The 27,361-nt window shown below is 35.0% G+C and overlaps 1 long non-coding RNA gene across 1 annotated transcript in view, besides 1 other annotated feature; it reads right to left on the bottom strand.

Moving 5' to 3' along the window:
* The window catches only part of LOC124903236 (uncharacterized), a 116,328-nt gene extending 89,299 nt beyond the window's left edge, over positions 1-27,029 (bottom strand). The window contains exon 1 of the long non-coding RNA XR_007063922.1: positions 26,615-27,029. This is a non-coding gene — a long non-coding RNA (uncharacterized LOC124903236). The remainder of the gene's footprint in view (positions 1-26,614) is intronic.
* Positions 19,337-19,837: an enhancer, noted in NCBI's record as "H3K27ac hESC enhancer chr13:63978433-63978933 (GRCh37/hg19 assembly coordinates)". NCBI's record gives its function as "activates a minimal SCP1, AML or CMV promoter by ChIP-STARR-seq in naive H9 embryonic stem cells {active_cell/tissue: H9 hESC(naive)}" and the evidence as "EXISTENCE:reporter gene assay evidence [ECO:0000049][PMID:30033119]".
* Positions 27,030-27,361: the final 332 nt, after the last annotated feature.

Raw genomic sequence — 27,361 nt, 5'->3', positions numbered from 1 at the left:
CTATGGTGTTCAGCTTCTACTCTTCATCTGTGTATCCAGAGTCTTCAGTCTATTCAGGTCAGTTAGGATATTGATTATAGTTGTGGTTTTGGCATTTTTTCATCCTATGTTATGTCCCACATCTGAAAAATATGTCCTGAGAATGGTCGTAAGTGTAGAAGTCTTTGGTGATTCTGCTGGTGTTTCGATTCCCACTTTTCTAGAATATCTCTGGCCTAGAAAGCTTTCCTCACTCCAGCCTTCTCAAAGTAAAACGTTGCCATACACCAGCTTCGCTTCTGGAAATCAGCATGCCTCCCAGTAAAGATGGAGCCAACTCAGGCAGCAGACAATCATAGCAGCAAAAACTGCAGATTAGACCCCAAGTTTTACAGTGGCAAGTATCTCACCATCTAGTTAGAGTCATTTATTATTATATATTTTCTTCCCCACTCAGTCCTGCAAGCTTTGTAGGAATCATAACGTACTGTATCAAATGTTTAAACACTAATATCTTACCCTGCTCTCCTTCCATGAGCCCAGGATTCCTCAGTAAGACATCCAGAGTTGGTGGGACTGAACAAAGCGTTCCTACTTACTAGCTATGTGACCTTTGCCAAGTCTCTTTATTTCTAAGTTTTAGTTTCCTTTTCTATAAAATTGAAGTGATATTTTTAAAAAATAAATGAGCTTATTCATCTAAATAATTTAACTTAGTCTCATAAAAAGAGCAAGAACCCAGTAAATGATAGCTATCTCTTTGCAACAACCAAGCTCACTTGAACTTTGGGAAGTCATACCGAAGTTGTTTTACACATTAAGGAAGATCTATAAGCAGTTATTTTGTTTGGTTGGTTTCTGTTTTTTCATTTGTTTGTTTGTTTTGTATTTTTTTAAAGACAGCGTCTCACTCTGTCACCCAGGCATGAGTGCATTGGCTTGATTACAGTTCACTGCAGCTTCAACCTCCTAGGTTCGAGTGATCCTTCCACTACAGTCTCCTGAGTAGCTGGGACTACAGGTATGTGCCATTACACCCAGCTAATTTTCTTTAATTTTTATTTGAGATTTTTTGTAGACATGGGGTTTCACTATGTTGCCCAGGCTGGTCTTGAAATCCTGGGCTGAAGCTATCTTTCCACTTCAGCCTCCCAAAGTGCTGGGATTATAGGCATGAGCCACCACACTGGCTCAAAAGTTTTAATTTCCTTTTTCTGTGGTTATTTATGTTTGTGAAATGAACTTTAATTCAAAACACTTTCCTCATTGGACTGTCTAGAACAAGTCTTGAACCTATTTTCTAGCTTTTCTATATACCATTTAAAAAATAAATGCATAAATAAAAAGTTAATGTAGGTAGATGATAGTTTATTTGATTTTAGAAACATTTAGGTATTTTCAAGCTCCTCCAAGATGTGGATACTCATGTCAAGTCAGCTGTATGTTGAAATGAACATTGACTTTTGAAGAAAATACTTTTGGATAATAATACTAGTTATGAAATATACAAATTGTGCGAACAGGGTAAAGTAACTAAATCTCTCTGAACTTGAATTTTCTTACCTGCAAAAGTGAAATAATAGTGTTCATTTTGTAAGGTTTTGGAAAAATTAAAATGAGGCAATGGGTGGAACAGATGACTGATGTCCCCAGCATTTTTTTCTTTTGATGTCCATGCCTTTTGATAATCCTTCCCCCTTAAGTGATGGTGAAACCTGTGACAAGTTTCTAACCAATAGAATATGGAAAAAGTAACAAATGTCAATCTCTTGATTAGGTTATATTATATGAAAGTAGGTCTTAGATAAGTACTATGAGAACTTCTGCTAGCCTTGAGGAAGTGAAGACCCCGTTATAAACTGCCTATAGAGTGTGTACTTGGAACTCCTTTAAAGGCTGAGAGTCACATCCAGCCAAAATCCAATAAATGGCTGGGATCTTGGTAATGTAGACTCAAAAAAATGACATTTTGCAACAATCTGAGTTAACATAACAATGAAATTTTCTCTAGTTGAGACCCCGGATGAAAACGCAGTCTAGCAGATACATTGATTGCTGCCTCAGGATACTTTTAGCAGAAGACACAACCAAGTTGTGCCTAGACCTCTGATCATAGAAACTGTGAGATAATGACATGTGTTGTTTTAAGTCCCTAAATTTGTGATGACTTGTCATGCAGAGTAGAAAATGGATCGACAATACTTTAAAAATATATGTTTATGTGCTAAAATGAATTACTATCACTAATATTAATGAATATTAATGCTAATATTAAATGTCTGACCTAGATAATTATGATAACAAATTATTAGAATTAGATGATCTTGATGTTATGTACATAATATTAAGTATAGATTTATTAGTATAATCAGAGAAGATAATAAAAAAATTTGTAAGTATATGTATTGAGTTTATAATCCTCTAATGTGTTGATGTAACAATGATTTTCTCCTTACAACAACATATAGACTTTTTTTGCGGGATTTAATCTAATCTTTTTCCAACCTAAATAAATACCTACAAATGCAGTGCCCAGGAAATGAACTGTGAAGCAATATATACGTATATTCTTGGATCCCATTATTGGATGCTGGATTTGTGCTGTGTTACTCTCCTTTGATACTTATTTTCATTATTTTTTCAGTTACCATTTCAGACTGAATTAAGCCACAGTTCAAGCTCTCAGTTTATGTGATGATGATGACGCTATTCTGCATGTAATTGTCCCTTGTCTCTTTTTTTAGTCATCTGTTACTGATACAGTATGAATAACAAGATCATAAACATCCCTAATTAAGCCATAAGACATGACAGGTTGTGAATTGTGTCGTAATATTTCACACCTAGTGTGCTGCTGAGCATGAGGCTGAAGGCTCTGAGCCATCAATGCACCTGAGCGTGAATTAACACTGTGCAATTCATGTCCCAAAATGTATGACTTTGATTGTGAAATAGTGAGTTTGTTTGGTAATTAAAAAAAAAAACTTCACTTTTGTTTTCTCCTATTTTAATTTTATATGCACAGGGTAGACAATACCAGTTTGGGATTAAAAAATATTTCTAATAATTTAAGATAAACCATGGAATATAATATTTTGAAATCAAAGATAAAACCATTGAAATTTACTTCCTGTACAAACTTATGGCAAACCTTCACTTGTTATTTTAATGCAATCATTTTTGACAATGATTGGCATCATTTTATGAAAATGGATTTTCAAGCATTTGATAACTCTTGCCTGATGCCCATCATATTTTGAATGATTCTTACTCAGTACTTACCTTAATGCTATAAGTGTATGAGATGTATAAGAAATGAGGGTTCATGGTTAAAAAGAAACTCCATAGCAGCAGCAGGTGACATCTCAAATATAACACAGCTGACATTTAGAAAATAATACAGAGATATGCTCTGTCTTATTCAGATAGTACCCTTTGATATGCCTTGAAAGAAAAGTCATTGAAGACAAAATAATAGCTAAAACATTGAGGTAACATCCTAGTTTTCAACTTGCTGGGTATAATGTAAATTTACATAATATATAATTTGAATTATAAAATTTGATCAGTTGCTAAGCAGGAAATCAATGTCATGTAATTTAAATAAATCTGTTTAAACGAAAGGATGTTATCCTGATTAAAATATTGTTTCTCGGCCAGACACAGTGGCTCACGTCTGTAATCCCAGCACTTTGGGAGGCCAAGTCTGGCGGATCACCTGAGGTTGAGAGCTCGAGACCAGCCTGACCAACATGGAGAAACCCAGTCTCTACTAAAAATTAGACATGGAGAAACCCAGTCTCTACAAAAAAAAATTAGCCAGGTGTGGTGGCGCGTGCATGTAATCCCATCTACTCTGGAGGCTGAGGCAGGAGAATCGCTTGAATCTGGGAAGCGGCGGTTGCAGTGAGCTGAGATCACGCCATTGCAGTCCAGCCTGGTCAACAAGAGCGAAACTCCGTCTCGGAAAAAAAAAAAGAAAAAAATATTGTTTCTCTAAATTCTGTCTTTATTAATTATTATCTTGTTTTTCCTAACAGCGCATTTTCACTGCAGAATCCCAAAAGATGCACCATAAATGGTCCCCCTAGACTGCAATGGTAATATAATATTATTTTTAACAACATAGGTTTTGATGTTGATAAAAATGACATTGCACCTTGGATTTATGGCTTACTAATGTATGACTTTGAAGAATTGTTCAATTTTTGTTAGTCTCAGTTTAACTTTGGGTATAAGGAAAGAACAATAATGCTTTCTTTATAAGATTGTTATGAAAATAAGTGAAATATGTATTTGAAGTAGAATGTTTATCACATTATTAAGCACCTTGGTTATTTGTGTACCAAATAACATGTGCATTATGTAATCATAATACTATTGTTATTAACTCCATTGAGAGACAGTGTTCTATAAATTTTTCACATTCCTTCCTGGTTCAGAATGCATTATCGAATAACAAATGTTCCTTGGAAATTAGAGATAATCCTTTGGGGATATTTAGAAAGGATTCCCCTGGAGTCATTTGCATACATTGTAAGGATAATAACCTTAAGATACTTTCTCCCTAATCCAGAAGTATTTGCTTTTATTCCAGGGTTTTAATAACCTAGAGCACTTTCCTTCTCTTCCTTGGAGAGGATTTGCTCCAGAGATGTTAATGGGCAGATGTGCCTGCCACCATATTGAAGCTTTGAGTCTTATAATTTTGAGGTTTCTCTCCTACGACGCAAAATTTACTGCATGTTCAGATAAACATCTGGCCCTTACTGGGTCACTATGTGGGGGGAATTGAGGAATAAGGAGACAATGCAAGCTGTATGAAGCCTTTATTTTAGAATGTTCTATTCCTGGATTCCAGAGCTGTAGCCACAGGTCAATAATTGCTTGACTTTTCCAAAGTAATTGATTGACTTATTTTTCTGGTTGGTTTTATCATATCTATTAAATATTCGAATTCTTTGAAGAACAGTTTTTAACTGTATTTCTTCATAAATCCTATTGCATTGCCTTATTAACTATATTAACTAATTAATGAATTGCTGAATTTTTTTAGACATTGAGGCAGAATATATTGCCTATATATTAGAAAACCATTACAACAGACAAGTGAGAATGCATGAATTAGAGCAAAGTCTTCAGAAATAGACATAGATAGAAAAATTTTATTTAGTGATATAATATATATAATTATTCATTAAATGTATATTATAGACAAAGACTAAAATTGGAGCTTAGTTTTTTATTTTAGGTTATTGTAGTGTCATTTATAAAAGTAGTTGTTTAGAAAGTAGATCTTGATTTTTATATATACATATGTATAATTTGATTTATATTTTGAGTTTGATGTTAGAGCTTGCAGGTGAAGCTGTCAAGCAGTCAGTTGGAAAATTAAGCATTTATGATTTTTATTATTTCTATTTTATGGAATAAGTGCTGAATATGGAGAGACAATGATTTTGCCTGAGGTCACATGAACAGTGACTCATGTATGAAACCAGCAGTGGTTTCAGAGTTCTGCCCTTCCCTTCTATAATATACTGACTCTAAAACTTAAATTTCTGCCATAATGTCTTTGAATATTCCCTATCAAAAACTAGCTACAGTGACAACTTTCATCCAATTGTCTGATACTCAGTTAAGGGTCATCCTTGATTTAGCTAGAGAGTACCTAAAACAAGAGCATAATGTTAACTCCTTAACAATTCTGGTATCATCCGACACCTTTTCATTTCTAGTTATCATGAAATAGAGTAATACATCTGTCTTTCTCAACTGGTCAATTACAACAGCATCTCCGTTATTCACCCCCTCTTCTTTATGCCCCTTACGTTATCACTAGTCAAAGTGTGGCCCGCAGACTAATGCCAGTCCGGAAACTGTTACAGGTCTACAACAAATGCTTAAGTTGAAATTATGAATTTACTTATGCATCAATAAAAAAGAAGATACGAATTTTCAATTTTTTTATTATACTTTAAGTTCTAGGGTACATGTGCACAACTTGCAGTTTTGTTACATATGTATACATGTGCCATGTTGGTGTGCTGTACCCGTTAACTCATCATTTACATTAGGTATATCTCCTAATGCTATCCCTCCCCCCTCTCCCCACCCTGTGACAGGCCCCCATGTGTGATGTTCCCCACCCTGTGTCCAAGTGTTCTCATTGTTCAATTCCCACCTATGAGTGAGAACATGTGGTGTTTGGTATTTTGTCCTTGTGATAGTTTGCTGAGAATGATGATTTCCAGCTTCATCTATGTCCCTACAAAGGACATGAACTCATCATTTTTATGGCTGCATAGTATTCCATGGTGTATATGTGCCACATTTTCTTAATCCAGTCCATCATTGATGGACATTTGGGTTGGTTCCAAGTCTTTGCTATTGTGAATAGTGTTGCAATAAACATACGTGTGCATGTGTCTTTATAGCAGCATGGTTTGTCCTTTGGGTATATACCCAGTAATGGGATGGCTGGTTCAAATGGTATTTCTAGTTCTAGATCTTTGAGGACTGGCCACACTGTCTTCCACAATGGTTGAACTAGTTTATAGTCCCACCAACAGTATAAAAGTGTTCCTATTTCTCCACATCCTCTCCAGCACCTGCTGTTTCCTGACTTTTTAATGATTGCCATTCTAACTGGTGTGAGATAGTATCTCATTGTGGTTTTGATTTGCATTTCTCTGATGACGAGTGATGATGAGCATTTTTTCATGTGTCTGTTGGCTGCATAAATGTCTTCTTTTGAGAAGTGTCTGTTCGTATCCTTTCACCACTTTTTGATGGGGTTGTTTGATTTTTTCTTGTAAATTTGTTTAAGTTCATTGTAGATTCTGGATATTAGCCCTTTGTCAGATAGGTAGATTGTAAAAATTATCTCCCATTCTGTAGGTTGCCTGTTCACTCTGATGGTAGTTTCTTTTGCTGTGCAGAAGCTCTTTAATTTAATTAGAGTTTAATTAGCTCTTTAGTTTAATTAGATCCCATTTGTCAATTTTGGCTTTTGTTGCCATTGCTTTTGGTGTTTTAGTCATGAAGTCCTTGCCCATGCCTATGGCCTGAATGATATTGCCTAGGTTTTCTTCTAGGGTTTTTATGGTTTTAGGTCTAACATTTAAGTCTTTAATCCACCTTGAATTAATTTTTGTATAAGGTGTAAGGAAGGGATCCAGTTTCAGCTTTCTACATATGGCTAGCCAGTTTTCCCAGCACCATTTATTAAATAGGGAATCCTTTCCCCATTGCTTGTTTTTGTCAGGTTTGTCAAAGATGAGAAAGAAATAAAGGGTATTCGATTAGGAAAGAGGAACTCAAATTGTCCCTGTTTGCAGATGACATGATTGTATATTTAGAAAACCCCATCGTCTCAGCCCAAAATCTTCTTAAGCTGATAAGCAACTTCAGCAAAGTCTCAGGATACAAAATCAATGTGCAAAAATAACAAACATTCCTATACACCAATAACAGACAAACAGAGAGCCAAATCATGAGTAAACTCCCATTCACAATTTCTTCAACAAGAACAAAATACCTAGGATTCCAACTTATGAGGGATGTGAAGGACCTCTTCCAGAACTACAAACCACTGCTCAGTGAAATAAAAGAGAAACCAAACAAATGGTAGAACATTCCATGCTCATGGATAGGAAGAATCAATATTGTGAAAATGGCCATACTGCCCAAGGTAATTTATAGATTCAATGCCATCCCCATCAAGCTACCAATGACTTTCTTCTCAGAATTGGAAAAAACTACTTTAAAGTTCATATGGCACCAAAAAAGAGCCCACATAGCCAAGACAATCCTAAGCCAAAAGAACAAAGCTGGAGGCATCACGCTGCCTGACTTCAAACTATACTACAAGGTTACAGTAACCAAAACAGCATGGTACTGGTACCACAACAGAGATATAGACCAATGGATCAGAATAGAGCCCTCAGAAATAATACCACACATCTATAACCATCTGATCTTTGAAGTTTGAAATTTTATAACAATTTGATGAAACCGTTTTTTGTCTGTTTGATCTAGTAAAAATTAAGGGCTTTTATTGTATGTACCAATATACTTTCATTTTGCTAGTAATTTCACTTGCATTTTATAAAAGTATTTATCCTAATTAAGTTGGGAGGAAAAACACTGATTATCTATTACCAATAATTTCCAAAGAACTGATTTATTACTGTACACTTATCTGGGACTCCATTATTTATAAAAGGAAATCCAATATTCCATGGTATCCATGATCTAGTCTTTTCCTCTCCCTCACATCTCTTTTTCTATTCTGATATTTTTTTGTATCACTCTTTATGAATTATAACTCTAACACAACTCATAACTCTAAAATCAATCTGCTTGTAATTTCTTTTATAAACTTATGCCTTTATGCTACTCTCTGTAATTTGAATGTTCTAACTCCAAAATACCTAACACCACACTAATATAGTAGGTTTACTTTCTCTAACTCAACATTTAGGCAGTGATAGGTGTGTTTTCAATCCTTGTATGATTCTGCTGAGTATTAATTGTAATTCCAAATTTTTTTCCAAATACCTTTGTTTATTTCTAAAATTGACCTAAACAAATATATTTTTGTATTTGCTTCATTGACTATTTTTCAAATATGACATGAGGAAAGAGCTTCTCTCTTATTTTTTGTTAATGCATCCAGTGCTTAATTGGTATTTAGAATACAAAGTTTGAAAATCAGAAGAACATAGCAAGAACAAGATGGGCTGCTAATAGCAAACTGTTAGAAATTTACCTGTAAAAAGAGAATTTTAGAATATGTGGATATTCAAGTTAATATTGTTGTACAATAAACAACTTCAAACTTAATGGTTAAACTGAAACCATTTAATTATTTTCAAAGATTCTATGGGCCATAAATTCGGGCAGGGTTTGAGATGAAAGCAATTTATTTGAGATAAAAATGGTAGCCTGATATTTCTGCCACGCACCTCAGTATCTGAGTTTACTCAGTGCCTATTCACAGTTAAAATAGCATGCCACCTTTCTAAATCTATCAAATGGTCTTCAGACATTTGCTTTTATTAGCATCAATTATACCATATTACCTAAGATGAGAGTAAATTATGCTATACCCATGCTATATTCTCTTTTCTATTCCAGATGCAAATAACATCCAATGATTTCAACAATGTTACAGTTTATTTGTGATTTCAAAGAAATTAGAAAATATATTGAAAAAATCATGCAGCCTTTAGATCACTAAGTTGTACTTTTCAATAATACTTGTTTTGCTATAATCTTTAAAACTATGAGGCATAGTCATTCCACTTGAGGAGGGTGAGTCACAATGCTTATATATAGTTTAAGAAAGTACAGTTTCGTATGGAAGACCAGATTTTACTGGTCTCACACATTGTGCTTTAATTGAACTGCCAACCAATAATGCAATTTCAAATATAAACGTGGTACTAGTCCATTTTAAAAGCTCATTTATTTCTTTCGTGTTGGATTACGAATCAAGGTATACAAAATTGTGGACACAACAATAAAACCAGAGTTCGGCTGACCCAAAAAGCATATATTATGGTTATATACAATCAGGCAATCATTGCTTATGAGGAAGTTCTAAACCAGCAGCAACAGTATCACCTGGAAATATGTTTAAAATGTTAAACTTGTTAAAAATGCAAATTCTCAGTCTCCACCTCAGGCCTACTGAATCAGAAACTTTGCAAGCTCAGCAATCTGGGCTTTAACCTTTCCAGATGATCCTGATATATTCTTAAATGCAACTAGGGAATAGTTTTGACTGGAATATGGACTCACGGAGTTTTTAACAACATATTACAAATTTAATGAGTGTGAAACTTTACACTTACTGAATCAGGTGTGTTAAGAAGTATCTATCTTTGTATCACTTTAAGTATAAATCTTGAGATCTGGTTGTTACTGATTGCAAAATAATTACTATTGCCCATTAAGGAAATATAAACTTGATGTTATTTCATTTGGAACTGAGTTCTTTTAGTCATAACCACTTGTTTAATTCGATGTTTTTATGTTTCTCTCCCTTCACCTTACTTATCTTGTATTTCTCCCTGGGGTTTGTGAGTTTACATGTCTTATTTACGGCAAGATGGAAAGAAGTGAGTAGTCTTGTAATTATTCTCTGCCTATACTGACCTCTGCGTGGGATTATTTACACTTTACTCTTCAAAGCTGTGTACCTCACTCATTATTGACACCTCGGATATGCTATGTCCTCAGGCAGCCAACTACAGTACTCTATTACTGCCTTGTTCCTATTCCGGAATACCTTAGGGGCTCTATTTAATCTAACTTGTACTTTCATTTCTTTAGAGGACATCCAAAGGTTTAGAGAAACCTCCTCTACTATACTGGAGTGTGCTGGGCTCTGCAGACTGCCCTGGGGCAGGGGATGCAATCTATGTTTGCAATTTTGCTTATAGTTTTATTCTCCCTCTCAGACAATATGTTATATGCAGGACTTCTCTAGGTATTATGTATACCTCTAGCTCTTAAATGCTAAATGTTCTTCCTTTCCACCAGTGACTTGGGGATTTGGCCCAAAGGTTGAGACATTAGACCACTTCTCAATAATCCAGCTAGTGTAGACTCCTTAGATTATCCTCCTGCCAGCTCTTAGAATTTGGGAAGGGATTAACTCTAAAATAAATTTGCATAATTTTCTATCCTTTGTCTATGGCACCTGGTCCCTCATGGTTTAATATTTAGTAGGTATAGTTTAAGGTTTTGGACCCCCATTATTAAGCCTATTTTTCAAGTTTTTACTCTTATCAATCTCAGTTTTCTTATATAGAAACTGCATTTTCAAATATGTACATAAACCAAACATATTTGGATTATGCAACATTAAACTTTGCCTTCAAAACTATTATCCCTATAGTGGGTATCAAAATAAACTATAAAGATAATTCACTGGCTTTTAAATCCTAAATGTATTCATCCTGTCCTTAAGACAAAGCATGCCACTGGCTTTATAACATTAGGGACCATTGCGAGGAAAATACCTAAAAACTCTCTTAAAATTTTTCTTCAGTGCATAAAGAAGAAGCAACTTTGGGCTGAAGAGCATAGATTAATCACCAATTAATTTTTGTATTTAATTATTTAGTGAAACACAAATTGATCTGAACAGACCATGTTCAAGTATTAGTTTTAGAAACTAGAAATGTAACACAAAACAAAAATCAAGGCAAATTAAGCAATTCTTATCCACATATAGTTTATGTATTGCCATTCATTAATATTTAGTTCTGAAGGTCTGGTTGCCACTTTGAAACATATTGTTGAGCATACTTAGAGGAGGCCAATCGCTTTCAAAGACATAGCTTTATAAACTTTCTCTGTGTAGAAATATGTATCTAAAGTGAAAAAAATGGCCTTGGTTAGTTTTACCTTTTTGACAAGACTGTATGAATAGGTCATGATATATGATCCATGTGTATAATTCACACACATATTTTGTTTTATAATAGTGGCTACATATAGCCTAACATATGAAAATATATGACAATCTTATGTGAGAAGCTCTGACAATTTAGAATCAACTTTCAGGCTTTTAAAATCATAAATATTGTCATAAGAGAAAAAAACCTCTCATTGAATTATGTCATCTACCTTGCTGTGAAGGTGTAATATCAAAGAAATAATTTTGGAGGAAATATAATTTATATAATTCCTTTTGTGTTACACAGAAATAAAAATGACATATTAAATTATAAAATATTATATCTTTTTAAATTTTTCATCCATAGCAGATATTGATGAAGATTAAATTCTAACATTAAAATTATTCTTGTCTAAAGGACCTTGAGGCATACCTTCCAATTTTTACAAAATATGTCTTCCTATTTATATACTATCATATAGATACATACGTTTTTATCTGTACAAACAATACGCTATTTGCTACTTTGCACATCATTATTTACTTTGAAAGCGGCTCATATTCCATTCAATTTAGAAAAAGCACAGTGAAATTTATCTCATTATAAAGTTTAAAGTGTTTCAATGACAAGCATTTGCTATATTTCAAAGCCTAAACAAAAGCGGATATTGAGAAGTGAAATAAAAAATAAATTTTGTATTCTGCTAATGGTGCAAAGTAGTGTGAAAGAACAGACAAGCTGGAAATAAAAAAGTCAATACGGTAATCAATAAACTCAAATAAGGATGAAATAGAGGATATACAGGCCCCGTAATTTGTAAACATACAACAATTCATAGCAGCATTCCTACAAAAATATAATCTGTTTCTCTAACATTTAGGAAAGAAAAAAAAATTGAATCTGAACATAAATGTAAACTCTAAATTCAATAGGTACATTTTTGGAAAAATGAAATTAAACAAATAATAATATATAAAAATGTGTACAGGTGAAAGATGATTTTTGAATTCCTCATTGTTAACTTTATTATTTTAAAATATATTTTTATGATTAAATACTTCAAATAATCTAGCACTTCAAGAGCCTCTACTCTTTATGCTTGATTAAACTTTAAAATAAATATGGACTGTTAAACATCCATCCTATACAGCACAACAATGATTTTCCCTCTTTTCAACTTTATGGTTATATACTTTTTAATTTAACAGAGAACAAAAATTATTTCAAGCGAAAAGAAAAAAAGTGTGAGAAAATGTTTGAGTTAAATATGCTCTAATTAAATCCTAGGTATGTATTAAATCTACTCTCAGGCTGACCAGCAACATATAATTAAACATCATTTTACCCAATAAAATATATTTGAGTTGCAATCACACATATTTACATATTTAAATACAAAACAGGGAAAATGATAGTAATAAAGTCATAAAAAGTGTCTCTAAATTGCATGTCTCTATTTATGTATGTCTCTATATTCTTAACCACTTTACCTGCTGTTACTCTTTCCCCAAAAATGTGTTGCTTTAGAAAGGGATCAGAAAGAACTGGTAGCTAAAGAATCTTTAATTCTACATATAAATATGTTTTCTATAAGTGCCAGTTCTGGCAAGAATTAGCAAAGAGAGAAATTCCTATTCTGCATATTCATCCTTCTCTTTCTTTATAATAAAGCCCCCTTAAGAAACATTTGGAGCTTCCCAGTCTGTTCTTCTTTGCCTCTTTTCCTAATCAAAATATATTTAGGAGAAATCATATTTTTATTTATCCTTTATGCATAAATATACATTTGTCATAGTTATATATAGCAGCCTATCACTCCGTTAAAGAAAAAAAAACATGCAGAACAAAGACAGGAGAGATACAGCTGTATGGAAGTTTCAATAGATTAGCAACACTTTACTCGATCAGTACATATTTTCCAGTCTAAATTTATGTTCAATATAGAGTAAAATCAGTGAGATAAAATAGAAATATCTGTTTTCCTAGTAGGCACTGTTTTGTTTGCCTAACATTTGCTCTTCTCTAGTTTGTTTCTAATGGATATTAATTTTATTGCCATCTCTGCTGAATGCCACACAACTGCACAAATTTAAGGCAACTTCCTCAGTCCCCTGCTTCTGATCTCCAGAGCTTCACACAGATTAAGCCAATGGGTGCATGGGCAAGGTGAGCAAGAATGAACCAGACAGAAGGGAAAGATTCCTACTTCATATTTGAGAAGAAAAGAGTTTCGTTTTCTCCCTCTGCATGTAAACTGGGACCCAGAATGTTGTTCCAGCTTCTCTGCCTGACATGTTATAGCATTGAAGGAAATCATCATAGGGGAAAAGCTTGAAATAATTAAAAACAGACAGAGAAATAAACTGGGTTGCTCTGATATGTAATACTATATAGAATTATACGCTATTTTGTTCTTTAAATTTTTAAAGATCGAATCAGAGTTTCTGTTATTTGCAGCCAACAATAAGCATTTTCATTTGCTTTTTGTTTTTGCTTTTGTTTTTAAGACAAGGTCTTGTTCTGTTGCCCAGCCTAGAATGCAGTGGCGCAGTCACGGCTCACTGCAACCTTAACCTCCTGGGCTCAAGCGATCTTCCTGCCTGCACTTCTGGAGTAGCTGGGACTTTAGGCATGAGCCACCACACCAGGCTAATTTGTAATTTTTTTTTTTTTTTTTTTTTTTTTTTTTGTAGAGACGGGATTTTGCCATATTGTCCAGGCTCCTCTCAAATTCCTGTCCTTACGAAATCCTCCCTCTTTGGTCTCCCAAAGTGCTGGGCTTGCAGGTCTGAGTCACTATGCCCAGCCAGCATTTTAATTTTTAGTGATGGCACTCAAGATTGAAAGACTTAATACCTCAGCTTGAAGTTAGCAACTACTTCCTAAAGTATACAGACTATTAGTTTTCCAGTATGACTTTTTCATCAAAATACATTTTGGATTTTATGTGTATCTACAATTTTTCCAGTTCTTGTGATATAAGGTGATAACCAATGTTTATTGGGTACTTGTTTCATGGCAGGGATATGTGTGTCCACTACTTAAACTTAACTATTTAAGAAATATTTCCAACAACTCTTTAAAGAGGTACTTATATTCTCACACCACTTTTCAGATTACATGACCCCAAAGAACAGGGTGAGTAAGTTTATTAAGTAGTAGATCCAGGACTAATCCCAAGCTGTCTGAATTCATCATCTATTTTCCTTATGGCCTTTTTATATTTCCAACTATAATATAAACAGCCCTTAAGCTTATCGGGTAACTCACAGGAATAATAATATTACGATGGCTAATACTGCATCTCTGATACAGGGTATATTTTTCTAAGAGTCCTGATTGGCTCTTATTCTGGCATTTGTTTTACTGAGTAACAACAGATTGGAGTCATAAAATGAATACCAACAACACAGTGTTTACTCTAGCAATCTTCTCCATCTAATCCCTTTTTGTGTTGTCACAGTTATTTTCTTCAATAATTTTGGCTGACATAGTTCTAATTTTATTTTCTGGTAAATTCATGATATTATATTTCTTTTCTTCTGTAAATGTAAATACTAGATAGAAATAGAAACCAAAGCTAGCAAGGAAATAAAACTTTCTAGATTCTAGAGAGAAAAAGGAAAACAATTACTAGAAGGTAATTGAAAGATAAATTGGTTGATGTTACATATGTTGCATAAAAATAGAACATTTAGTGAGTGTTTCTTGGCTCACAATCAGAGAGAGCTTAAATAACCCTTTGAAATGAGGATAAATCATAAGTTGCATTGGTTTTCTTGGCTCCCTGACTCTGTGTCCTGCTAATTTTGAATTTTGGAGCATTTAATGCCTCCTTGTGTTTTCACCATTCTCCAGATTCTGTGACTTATCTGCTAAAAAGAAGAGTTAATACAAAGAGATCTAGATTGTTAGTTTTTTCATGAAATCTGTGTTCAGTTGCTTACACTCTGACCTTGTATCGTAATACCGGGAACTGATTCTAATCACTTGTGCTTAAGCCCTGGCCTCTCCCTTATTTTCCATGTCTAGGTTCCTAACTTACCCCTGTTTCCGAGCATCTGCTTTGTGTTAAAGCCCATTAGCCCAATTTCCTCCAGAATTAAATTGTGTTTTAATTGTTATAACATACAACTCGATATTTTTCAAACATCTGCATCCTATATCTGTGTTTGTTCCTTAGATTTGTGACAGATGTGTTTTGGAGTGTCTATGATCTGTCTATTGGGATGTTTCTCTATCCTTCTTACTAGTTCTGTTTGAAAGTAACTGCTAAGCAACCAGGACTTCATCTTGCTGCCTGCTGTTTGAAATTCCTTTGGTATGGACCTTTCACACAGAGCTCAGTATGAGCTCCTTGACTTAGCCAGCCAAATTTTACTTAAGGAAAAACTGTCACAGAAAATAACCTCTTCAGTGCCAGATCTGAAACAACTTCAAAGCACTCTTGGCTCAGTGTAATGGCTATGGATAAAAAAAGCTGTATCCAGTGGGAGAAAAAAAAATGGACCATTTCTTCACTAAGTATGCATTAAATGAAAAATAATATTAATATTATTGAAATTAAAATGATATTGGTATTATAAAAATGTTAACTTTTATAACTTTAGATCTTTTAGAAAAAAGGTAGTACTTGTACCACGTAAGAGGAATCCATAAGATATTTAGATATTAATTAACTAATCTATAAGATATTTAGATATTAACTACTTGAAAGTCATGCCAGAGAGAGAATATGATATAGAAATCCTGACATAAATATGTATGAATGACTTTCAATATTAGCAATTATTTCTTCAGAATTTTTTTAATGGACTAAGTGGGGATTTTCATTTTGATACCCAACAACAGTAAACATAATTGCCTCAGAAGTGCAACCAATCAAATTATTCAAACCATATGTTTCGTTTTTTTGAGATTATGGTTGTAAATTTTTTATTTATCTGGAGAAGAGTTTATAAAACTTTGTCAGTAAAAGGCCAGATAGAAAATATTTTAGTGTTAGGGGGCTGTGTGGCCTACTGTCTCCTTGCAATTACTCAACTTTGCCATTTTAGTGTGAAAGAAGAATGAAGATCATGCACCCCCATAAAGTTTTATTTACCAAAAAACTTTGGCAAACCAGATTTAGATAGAGGTCTATAGTTTGTTGATGTTTATTCTATTGGCACGATATGAAATTTATAGGAAAAATGCTTGAAAGTTACCTAAAATAAACTTCAACTGCATTTCTTCTTAATGATATCCCATACCACCTACTTTACTTTTCATACTTAATTATTAGGTTGATCTTTCCTGTAAGCTACCCAATTGTTGACTATAAGGAGAAGTTATTTCTATGTTATTTAGTGATGCATCTCCATATATAATTCCTGGCCAATTAATTTACAAAAACAATAACAAGAATACATTTCTGATTTGTTTTTGCTCAGTTTTTAAAAAACACTTATTAATCCTCTACTACATTTTTGGCACTATACATGCAATAGGGATACAAAGGTGATTAAGAAAATGATCATGTTAAAAGGAGTTTAGAGTAAGTGGCATATTTATTTCTCTTCAGAGAATGGAATAAGCAAAAAGGTATTTCAGCAAGCAAAGACCCAAAAGTAAGAAATCTTTGAGTACTTACACAGTAAAGGATTAATTTATTAGATCTTGGTTGTCTAAAATCTACCTGTACATTCCAAAATAAAGTCAAACATTTTCCAGCCTCTGGAAAACAATGTCTAATGCCTTGGACTATCATGCCTGTTAATAATGTCTCTGTTTACCTAAGACCAGGCCATGCCAGATAATTTATGCTAAAAATGTGATTTATGTTTGAGCCTTGAGCTACACAATAGTAGTTTGAACTTGTGAGATGAAATAACTAACATTAAACATTCAGGTAGTCATCCATGTCTACATAACCTATCCCACCCCCAAAAAATCTGGACAAGAATGCTTGTATGAGCTTCCATTACTGTCAATAATTCATGCATGTTTATATACATTGTTGCTAGGAGAATTAGCACTCTTTATATGATTTCACTGGTAAAGGACAATTGGAAGCTTGCACCTGGTCTCTCCCAGAGTCTGCACTGTGCATTTTTTTCCGTTGCAGATTTCTTTTTTTTTTTTTTTAGATTCTCGCTCTGTTGCCCAGGCTGGAGTGCAGTGGTGCAATCTTGGCTCACTGCAACCTCCGCCTCCTGGGTTCAAGCGATTCTCCTGCCTCAGCCTCCTGAAGAGCTGGGACTACAGGCACCTACCACCAGGCCCAGCTAATTTTTGTATTTTTAGTAGAGACGGGATTTTACCATATTGGCCAGGCTGGTCTCGAACTCTTGACCTTGTGATCCACCCGCCTTGGCCTTCCAAAGTGTTGGGATTGTAGGCGTGAGCCACCGCGCCCAGCCTCTGTTGCAGATTTTAAGTTGTATCCATTTATTGTAGTAAAATATAACTTTCAGAATATAAGATCTCTGCTGAGTTCTGTGATTCTATCTAGTGAATCATTGACTATGAAATGGTCTTAGATATCCCCCGTCATAGTGCCTTTAAAGGAAAACTGATACACCAACCCCCTCTTCACCTTCTGCCATGACTTTAAGCTTTCTGAGGCCCTCATCAAAAGCAGATGCTGGTACTAGAATTGTTGTACAACCTGCAGACTGCGAGCCTATAAAACCTCTTTTCTTTAACAATTACCCAGTCTCTGATATTTCTTTATAGCATTGCAAGAACAGACTGACACAGAAAATTGATACCAAAACGATTATAATTGTCTAGGCTATTACAATCAGAAGCAGAGGCTGGTGGTTACTGTGAATAAATTCTGCAGGTTCTGCGGGTTGGGAATGTACTAAAGTGTTTAGTAAAGCATTCTTAAGATTGTGGATTTTTCTCATTATGTGTTAGAGGTTTTCAAATCTGCCCTGCCACCTTTTTTATAAACAAAGTTTCATTGGAATGCAGCCATATTCTTTCATGGAAGTATTGGCTATGACTGCATTTATGCTACAACAGAGTTACATGTTTGTGACAAAGACTGTATCCTCCATAAAGCCTAAGATATTTATTATCTGGCCCTGACAGAAACAGTCAGCAATCTCTTCCATATATAATGGGAAGTTACTGCAAGATATATGCATGGGAAACACATGATAATATGGTTTGGCTATTTTGTCCTCTCTAAATCTCATGCTGAAATGTGACCTCCAGCATTGCAGCTGGGCCAAGTGGGAGGTTGATATTATTTGGCTCTGTGTCCCCACCCAAATCTCACCTTGAATTTTAATAATCCCCACATATCAAGGGCAGGTCCAGGTGGAGATAATTGAATCATAGGGGCACTTTCCCCTGTACTGTTCTCATGATAGTGAGTGAATTCTCATGGGATCTGATGGTTTTATGAAGGGTTTTTCTCTTCTCTTGGTTTTCCATTCTCTCTTGTCTGCCACCATGTAAGACATGCCTTTGCTCTTCCTTCACCTTCTACCATGATTGTGAGGCCTCTCCAACCATGTGAAACTGTAAGTCCATTAAATATCTTTTTCTTTATAAGTTATCCAGTCTTGGGTATTTGTTTATTAGCAGCATGAAAATGTACTAATACAGTAAATTGGTACTGGTATAGAGTGGGGTGCTGCTGTAAGGATACCTCAAAATGTGGAAGGTGACTTTGGAACTGGGTAACAGGCAGAGGCTGGAATGGTTTTGAAGGCTTAGAAGAAAAAAGGAAAATGTGGGAAAGTTTGGAACTTCCAAGAGACTTGTTGAATGGCTTTGATCCAAATGCTGATAATGATATGGTCAATGAAATTCAGGCTGAGGTGGTCCTCAGATGCAGATGAGGAACTTGACAACTGAAATAAAGGTTAGTCTTGCTGTGTTTTAGCAAAGAGACTGGTGGCATTTTGCCCCTGCCCAAGAGATCTGTTGGACTTTGAACTTGAGGGAGATGATTTAGGGTATGTAGCAGGAGAAATTTCTAAGCAGCAAAGCATTCAAGAAGTGACTTGGGTGCTGTTAAAAGCATTCAATTTTAAAAGAAAAACAGAGCATAAAAGTTCGGAAAATTTGCAGCCTTGTGATGCTATAGAAAAGAAAAACCCATTTTCTGAGGGGAAATTCAAGCCGGCTGCAGAAATTTGCATAAGTAACAAGGAGCCAAATGTTAATTGCCAAGACAATGGAGAAAATGTCACTAGAGCATGTCAGAAACCTTTGAGGCAGCCCCTCCCATCACAGGTCCAGAGGCCTAGGAGGAAAACAAGATTTCCAGAGCTAGGCCCAGGGCCCCTCTGCTCTGTGCAGCCTAGGAACTTTGTGCCCTGAATCTCAGCAGTTCTAGCCATGTCTAAAAGGGGTCAAGGTACAGCTCAGGCCATGGCATCAGAGGGTGCAAGCCCCAAGACTTGGCAGCTTCCACGTGGTGTTGAGCCTGCGGGTGCACAGAAGTCAAGAATTGAGGTTTGGAAACCTCCATCTAGATTTCAGAGAATATATGGAAATGCCTAGATGTCCATGCAAAAGTTTGCTGGAGGGGAGAGACCCTCATAGAGAACCTCTGCTAGGGCAGTGCAAAAGGGAAATGTGGGGTTGAAGTCCCCACACTGAGTCCCTGCTGGGGCACCATCTAGTGGAGCTGTGAGAAGAGGGCCACTGTCCTCCAGCATGGTGGAGCTGTGAGAAGAGAGCCACAATTCTCCAGATCCTAGGAAGGTAGATGCACTGACAGTTTGCACAGTGCTCTTGAAAAAGCCTCAGACACTCAATGCCAGCCTGTGAAAGCAGCTAGGAGGGAGGCTGTACCCTGCAAAGTCACTGGGGTGGAGCTGCCAAAGACCATGACTTTGCATTTTAAACATCAAAGTATCTGACACAAATTTAATACATATGCATGAAGTTTGCTTTTTTTCCCTAAAAACTAAAAAATTAACAGAGATGAATGTGCATAATCAACAAGATTTTATTGTACATGTGTTTTGATAAGAAAGTAGGAAGGCAAAGGATAATAACTGCAATGGTTTGTGTCTCCTCCAAAATTCAGTTGTTTCCAACGTGGTAGTATTAATAGTGGAAGCCTTTAAAAGATGATTTGACTGTGAGTGCTCTTCCTTCGTGAATGGGATGAAAGCCCTTAGATAAGAAGCTTCATGTAGCATTTGGTCCTCTTCTCTTTCCAACTTCTAGCATGTGAATACACAGCAAGAAAACCCTCACCAGATGCTGACACTTTATGGACTTCTCAGCACCAGAGCAGCAATAAAGAAATTTCTTTTCCTTATAAATTACCTAGTCTCAGGTATTTTATTACAGCAGCACAAGCAGATTAAGATAATGACTAAGTCATCTGCATTTAAATGATTTCTCCATTCACTGAGATAAGGAAAATAAGAGGAATAGTGTTGGAGTAAATATGTGGCAAGTTCTATTTGAACACCTGAGATGTGGGTACTCAAGGGACATTGCAATGAAGATTTCCTATAGGTAGGTCACTTAAGTTTAAAGAATGAGCAGAAGAAGGGAAACCATTAAAGCAAAAGTTCAAATAAAATGTAAAAGAGGTCCGGACAAAGTCAGGTGGTGAGAAAATATACAAGTCAAGAGAAGAGAGTGTTTTAAGGTAAATGGAATTGATCAACAGTGTCAAAGGCTATTTCCACCAGTAAATTTTAAGACACTTAAGAAATAAAAGCTGAATATAAAAATGAGTTGGTTCTTGATGACATTGATAAAGGTAGTTTCAGTGTAGTGGTAATACAGATGTCTAAGTACAGTATATGGTTTGTCTCTGTGTCTGTACCTAAATCTCATCTTGAATTGTAATCCCCATATTTCAAGGAAGGAACCTGTTGGGAGGTGATTGGATCATGGGGGCATTTTTCCCCATGCTGTTCTCATGATATTTAGTGAGTTCTCACAAGAGCTGATGGTTTTAAATTGTGGCACTTGCTCACTTTTTTATTCCTGCCACCATGTAAGATGTGCCTGCGTCCCCTTTGCCTTCTGCCATTATTGTAAGTTTCCTGAGGCCTCCCAGCCATGCAGATCTGTGAGTCAATTAAACCTCCTTTCTTTATAAATTACCCAGTCTCAGGTAGTCTCCTTATAACAGTATGAGAATAGACTAATTCATGTGGCTTTAGTACTGAGTAGAAAGTGAGAAAGTAAATTTTAATTAATTTTTTATGAAATATGGGAGTGATGAAGAGGAGCAAAACAAGACAGTCTGAGGAAGTCAGTTGAAATGAGGGAATATTTATTTTTATTATAATATTTTAATAGAATAAACTTGAGCAAGCTTAAAGAGAAAACTATTAGGAGAGAGAGGGTGCAGTTTTACAGGAAAGGGCAAAAATTACTGAGTTATGGTCCTTAAATCTGGGAAGAGATGGGATTCAAAGTGTAGAGGAGATACATTGTAGAGGAGGTAAAGGACAATTCTTACCTTTCAAGAAGAAACAGTAAGTAGATTGCACATGGAGTAAGAGTGATTTGAAATACTTTTGTAGAAAATAAATAAATTTTTCTTATCATGTCTTTTTAATTAATTTAAAGAAACAATACATATCATCTACTGAAAATGAAGTTAACAGTTGTAACAACTGATGTTTGAGCAATGGAAGACTATTTTTGCAATAGTGTTGAAGAACAGACTGGAGTCTTGAAGAACAAACTAGAGTTGAGATCCTGGCAAAAAAACAAAGAAAGCAAGAAAGAAAGAAAGGAAGGAGGGAAGGAAGGAAGAAGGAAGGAAGGAAGGAAGGAAACACATGATTTTTTCCATGGCTGACCATAGCCAATGACAAAGGCTTTACCTAACAGGCATCTTGAGGAAAAGCTGCCCTCTCCAAACAAACTTGGTGACAATGCTTTGAAGTAGTTGTGGGGTCAGCATTAGGAACTCAGGCCCCCCTGACCAGCCATGCTCTGAAGCATTCTTGCTTCCCTAGCCCAGGCACTTTCATCAGGAGCTCTTTTGATCTCAGGAGTTTGGCCAAGGCCTTCCTTGGGCACCATTGTTGAGACCTCCTTATCAGAAAGAGGGGGTAGAAACCATGAAAACAAAACTTTCCACTGTAACTCAGTACTCCATACTTTTCTACACCTAACCCTCTCCACCTTTTCTCCAGGAGCCTTTCTTTCAGGGCTCCCACAGCAGTGCGATGACCCTTTCTACCAGTCCATTTTATGGTGGAAAATGGAACTGAGAAGAGTTAGAGCTTTGTGAATTTTATCACAGTGAGTAATTAAAATACTGACTGTTATTTCATTTTGGCTTGTAATTTTAATTGACTATGTTGACACCTTGCATCTTAGCTCTCTCTTCAGCTCAACTATGCTTCTGACCACCTGACTAGAAAGAGAAAAACCTATGTCTGGAGAGAACATCTGAAATAAAGAACTGATTAATGGCTACGGTAGCTGAGGCTAAGTAAGTAAGATCAAAATTTGTTCTCAAATAGTGGGCCATTTGAATTTAATTTTACAGTTGTAGAATTGTCCTAGGTGAAGGTAATTATAAGAGTATGGCTAAGAAAATGAATATTTGAGGAGAAATCAAGTTAATTTTATTTGATATTGCTTGCCCTTAAGAGACACGATATTAACAGGAAAGTCCACATATTATCTAGTTTGTCGTTCTACAATACTTTCATTGAGAAACAGATGTTGATATATGGCAACATTTTTTAAAGTAGATATTGATGAAGTTTTATGGCCTAAGCCATAAAGAAGCAAGGATTTATATAGTAGCTGCAATGTAATTAAGGAAACCACACACTTACCCTGAGATATCCATTTTTATAAAAGATAAACAGGCAAATGGAACACTTACTGAAAGAGGTTGAAGATGTGAGTGTTCCAGAGCACATAAAATGTTGGAATGTAAGTGAAAAACAATAGAAATTTGGGTTGTAAACAAGAACGTACAACAGGAAGGCATATCAACAAGAAGGTATAAAAGTGAGACATAATAACTTATTGGTCATACATCTTTGACAATTGTTGAGTATTAACAAGAAGCGATGTATGGTGTTTTTAGTTGACTACAAAGTAGTTGAAGCTACTGCTGTAACTAGGCCATAGTCTTCAGATTCAGGAGACACTAGAAAAGGAAGGTCAATCACTATTCTAAAAACTAGGTTTTATAAAACCTTTGGCAGAGGCTCTACTTCAGGAATCATGAATTCTTGTAGCAATATCCTGAAATACATGTATGGTCATCATGAGTTATCCTTTTTTTTTTTTTTTTTTCCAGATGGAGTTTCACTCCCATTGCTCAGGCAGGAGTGCAATGGTGCAATCTGAGCCCACTGCAACCTCCACCTCCCAGCTTCAAGCAATTCTCCTGCCTCAGCCTCATGAGTAGTTGGGATTACAGGTGCATGCCACCACGCCCAGCTAATTTTTTGTATTTTAGGTAGAGTTGGGATTTCACCAAGTTGGCCAGGCTGGTCTTGAACTCCTGACATCAGATGATCCACCCGCCTTGGGCTCCTAAAGTGCTGGGATTATAGGCGTGGGATTATAAAGTGCCCGGCAGATCCTTACTTTGAAAGTAAAACAGTTACTAGAACCAACACAAGATCTTGTTAAAGAAGCATATACATTTCCACATCACAAATTCCCCCCACTTAACATTTTGCAAACCATACTTAAATAATATTATTTCCCTTAATAATGTTATATATTTTTATTAACTTAAAACTGTGTATGAGTCTCTGAATGGGTCCATAGTTTTCACCAGACTACCAAAGGATTCCGTGGCACAAGAAAAGATGAATTAACCCTGTTTTTAGACGGGATATTTGGGCATTTTAAGCTCAAAATAGTTGCATTGAGATCTGAAGCCTAAGCACTGAGGTCAGCAATAGGAAGATGCCCCAAATTGAAAGTTCATATATTTATATATGTATTAAGCTTTCCATAGTATCTGTAATCCACAACAGACAGGAGAGTGAGCAGTAAAAATCAGGTCTTCTGAAGTGAGAGTGTTGAGTTTGAATTTTAACTTTACCATTAGCCCTCCACACTTTATCTGAAAATGTTAGCAATAATATTCATAGTAGAGATTTTTAATGATTAAATTAGTGGATATATGCAAAACACTGAGAAAAATACTTGTTCTACAATAATCACTCACTAAATACTTTCTCTTATTATTTTTTGAAGACTAGATGTTTTTACCATTTCTGTTTTATTCAACACTTTGTGAATTCTTCCTCAAAATCAGCAATATCTGATGCTCTAAAAAGTTTTAATAAGTTAAATTTGGAGATATCACATTTTACTTTGCATTTCTTAAGTAATGAGTTTGCTGTATTAGTTTTCCTATGACATGTTTTGATATGTAAAGTATGATTTATATTGTTTACCCATTTTTACATTATAGAATTTATCTCTGGTCTTTTCTTCTTACTTTTTTTGTGTGTTTCTACATATTGCTTTAGTGTGAATTCCAAGAAAATAGAGCCTGAGTCAAAGGTATATCTGGTTTATAAACACCAGGAGCACTAAAATTTTTTCATAAATGTTGTAGTTTTTCTATTTTATGTTTTAAATTGGAGAGATGAAAGTATTTAAATGCATATAATCTGATATGTCTATTTTAAAAATGTTTTATTGGATTGAATTTATAGCCCATCTAGTTGTGTATATCATATATTGCTAGCATAAGCTTAGAACTTTTCCTTAAGGGCAATTAAAAAAAAGTCATCTCCCTGTTAAGATTGGTGTTTCTAATATTTGAAAACATAATTTCATTCAAAAAGTGATATTCTGTTACTGTTAAAGAAAAATAATTGAAAACATTAATATATCATGACAGAAATGGTGATGAATTTAACATTTCTTGACTACTTATGGTTATGAAATAAGAATGATATTTATAGATTTAATTAATTAAATAACATTTTTTCAATAGCTACTTTTCTAGTACCACTGAGCAGGTACATATTTGTCTTATTTTCCTCTCTTCTGAAATATGTTTTAAAATAAAATGCTGATAATGATCCCACAGTAAAATATTTCACCAAAATAATGACATGAGCATTTAAAAATAATTATTATTTCTTACTATGAAGGGCTATTGAATTCCCTATTCCTTTGTTATACGTGACATTAGAAATGGAATTGAGTTCTCTAATTATTGCTGTAAATTCTTGTCTTTTATAGGAGGGATATTTTATGGTTGATTGCAAGCTCAATGTCCTATATTAGCAATTCATCATTTTATAATATTAATATTCATTTTTACTAAATATAGAAACCTCATATAATCAGCAATTTCCTCATCAATTTGAGGAAATCAAATTCATTATTAAGAGTTAGTATAATATTAACAACAAAATGCCTTTCCTGGTAAAAATAAACAAATCTTGATTCACCTATTATGTTTAATTTTGCATAATACGACAGAAAATTATAATGTGATTCTTAAATAATCTTAAATGTATCTAGTGAAATAACTCATTCAACCTATAGGCTAAATAAATGGGAGAAAAACAGAGAGAGAGAAAGAAAGAAAAAAGAGAGAAAGAGAAAGAGAGAGACAAAGTGAAAGAAAGAAACTAAAAATAATGTTTATTTTTTTCTAAAGATATTAACAAGAAGTACAGAAGTCTTCCAGATCATCTAAAAACTAACCTTGCTCTTAGTTAATATGTCTTTTTCTTGCCAATGTAAATCCAAAATTTATACTTAATTTTATTTAGTTACTTTGAGAACTATCTAGGGGTTTGAGGGTAAAACTATTAACACTAGAGCAATATGTATTTTTATTCAAGGAGTATACAAGGCTGGAAAGGGTATAATTATGCATATTCAAGTGAAAGCAAAGGTCTCATACTGCTGAAGATAAAGAATAAAGTGGTCAGAGATATTTCACAGAAACTTTGTGGATATATATCAACATTCTATTGCCATATTCTGCAATTCCCTAATGCATAGTTAATTAAATTGGAGTTTACATGAAAAAAAATAGTTATGCTTATTCACAAGACAGCCCCAATGCTTATTTTTAGTCAGAAATTAACAGCTTTTATCCCTTCTGAAAGAGGCATTCAAGGACCTTTCCAAAGAAAAAAAACCCAATGCATAACTAAGTTTTTCATTTTTAGAAAGGTAATTCCATGATTATTTTTAATAAACAGATTTAAGAAAGAGACAATGTAAATACTATTTTATAGGACAATCAAAATTTAAGTGAATAAAGTGAATTAGGTACTTACCCATAATATGCAAATTCTCAGTGATTCCTCAGACTTTTGAACAGGATTTACTGTTATTTGCTTTGGATGGCTAACTACTAAAATCCCTGGTTTCAGCGCAGCTTCTTGGTTTTTCTACCAATCAAAAGTTAGACTTTGCTAATATTTAGAATCTATAAGAAACTTAAAAAAATCACCAAGCAAAAATCAATTTACCCCATTAAAAAATGGGCAAAGAATATGAACAAACATTCTCAAAGGAAAACATACAAGGAGTCAGAGAACATATAAAAAATGCTCCACATCACTAATCATCAGAGAAATGCAAATCAAAACCACAATGAGATGCCATTGTCATAGGGTCCTTAGGGTTTTACTTTTCCAGCCAGAAACCTCCATGGCCAGTGGCACCTTTGCGCTAGTTTGGCTTGGGTCCACAGGGCTTGTTCTGCCCACTTGGCCCAGAAGGCTGCACTCAGCATGCACTATCAGCATGAATACCACACCTGCCAAGGGTGAGTCAGGTGGGAAGTGATGAGGGATGTGTGAGCGAGCACGGGGTCCAGCTGCTGCACACAGGCAGGTGTGCTGGTTGCAGTGGGGTGGGCAGCTCCAGGTGCCAGTACAGACCCCGGCCCTGTGCAAGGTTGCAGCTAGATCAGGCATACTTTAAGCGGCTTCCACTGTGGGCACCAGGGAATATGGTGGTGCCCCGGGAGCTTGGAGACATCAGGAATCACAAAGCCCGAAAGAAGGTGTCACAAGGCT

This window comes from Homo sapiens, chromosome 13 (genome assembly GCF_000001405.40).
Source record: "Homo sapiens chromosome 13, GRCh38.p14 Primary Assembly".
Lineage (NCBI taxonomy): Eukaryota > Metazoa > Chordata > Mammalia > Primates > Hominidae > Homo > Homo sapiens.
This window is presented reverse-complemented; position numbering and strand designations above follow the sequence as displayed.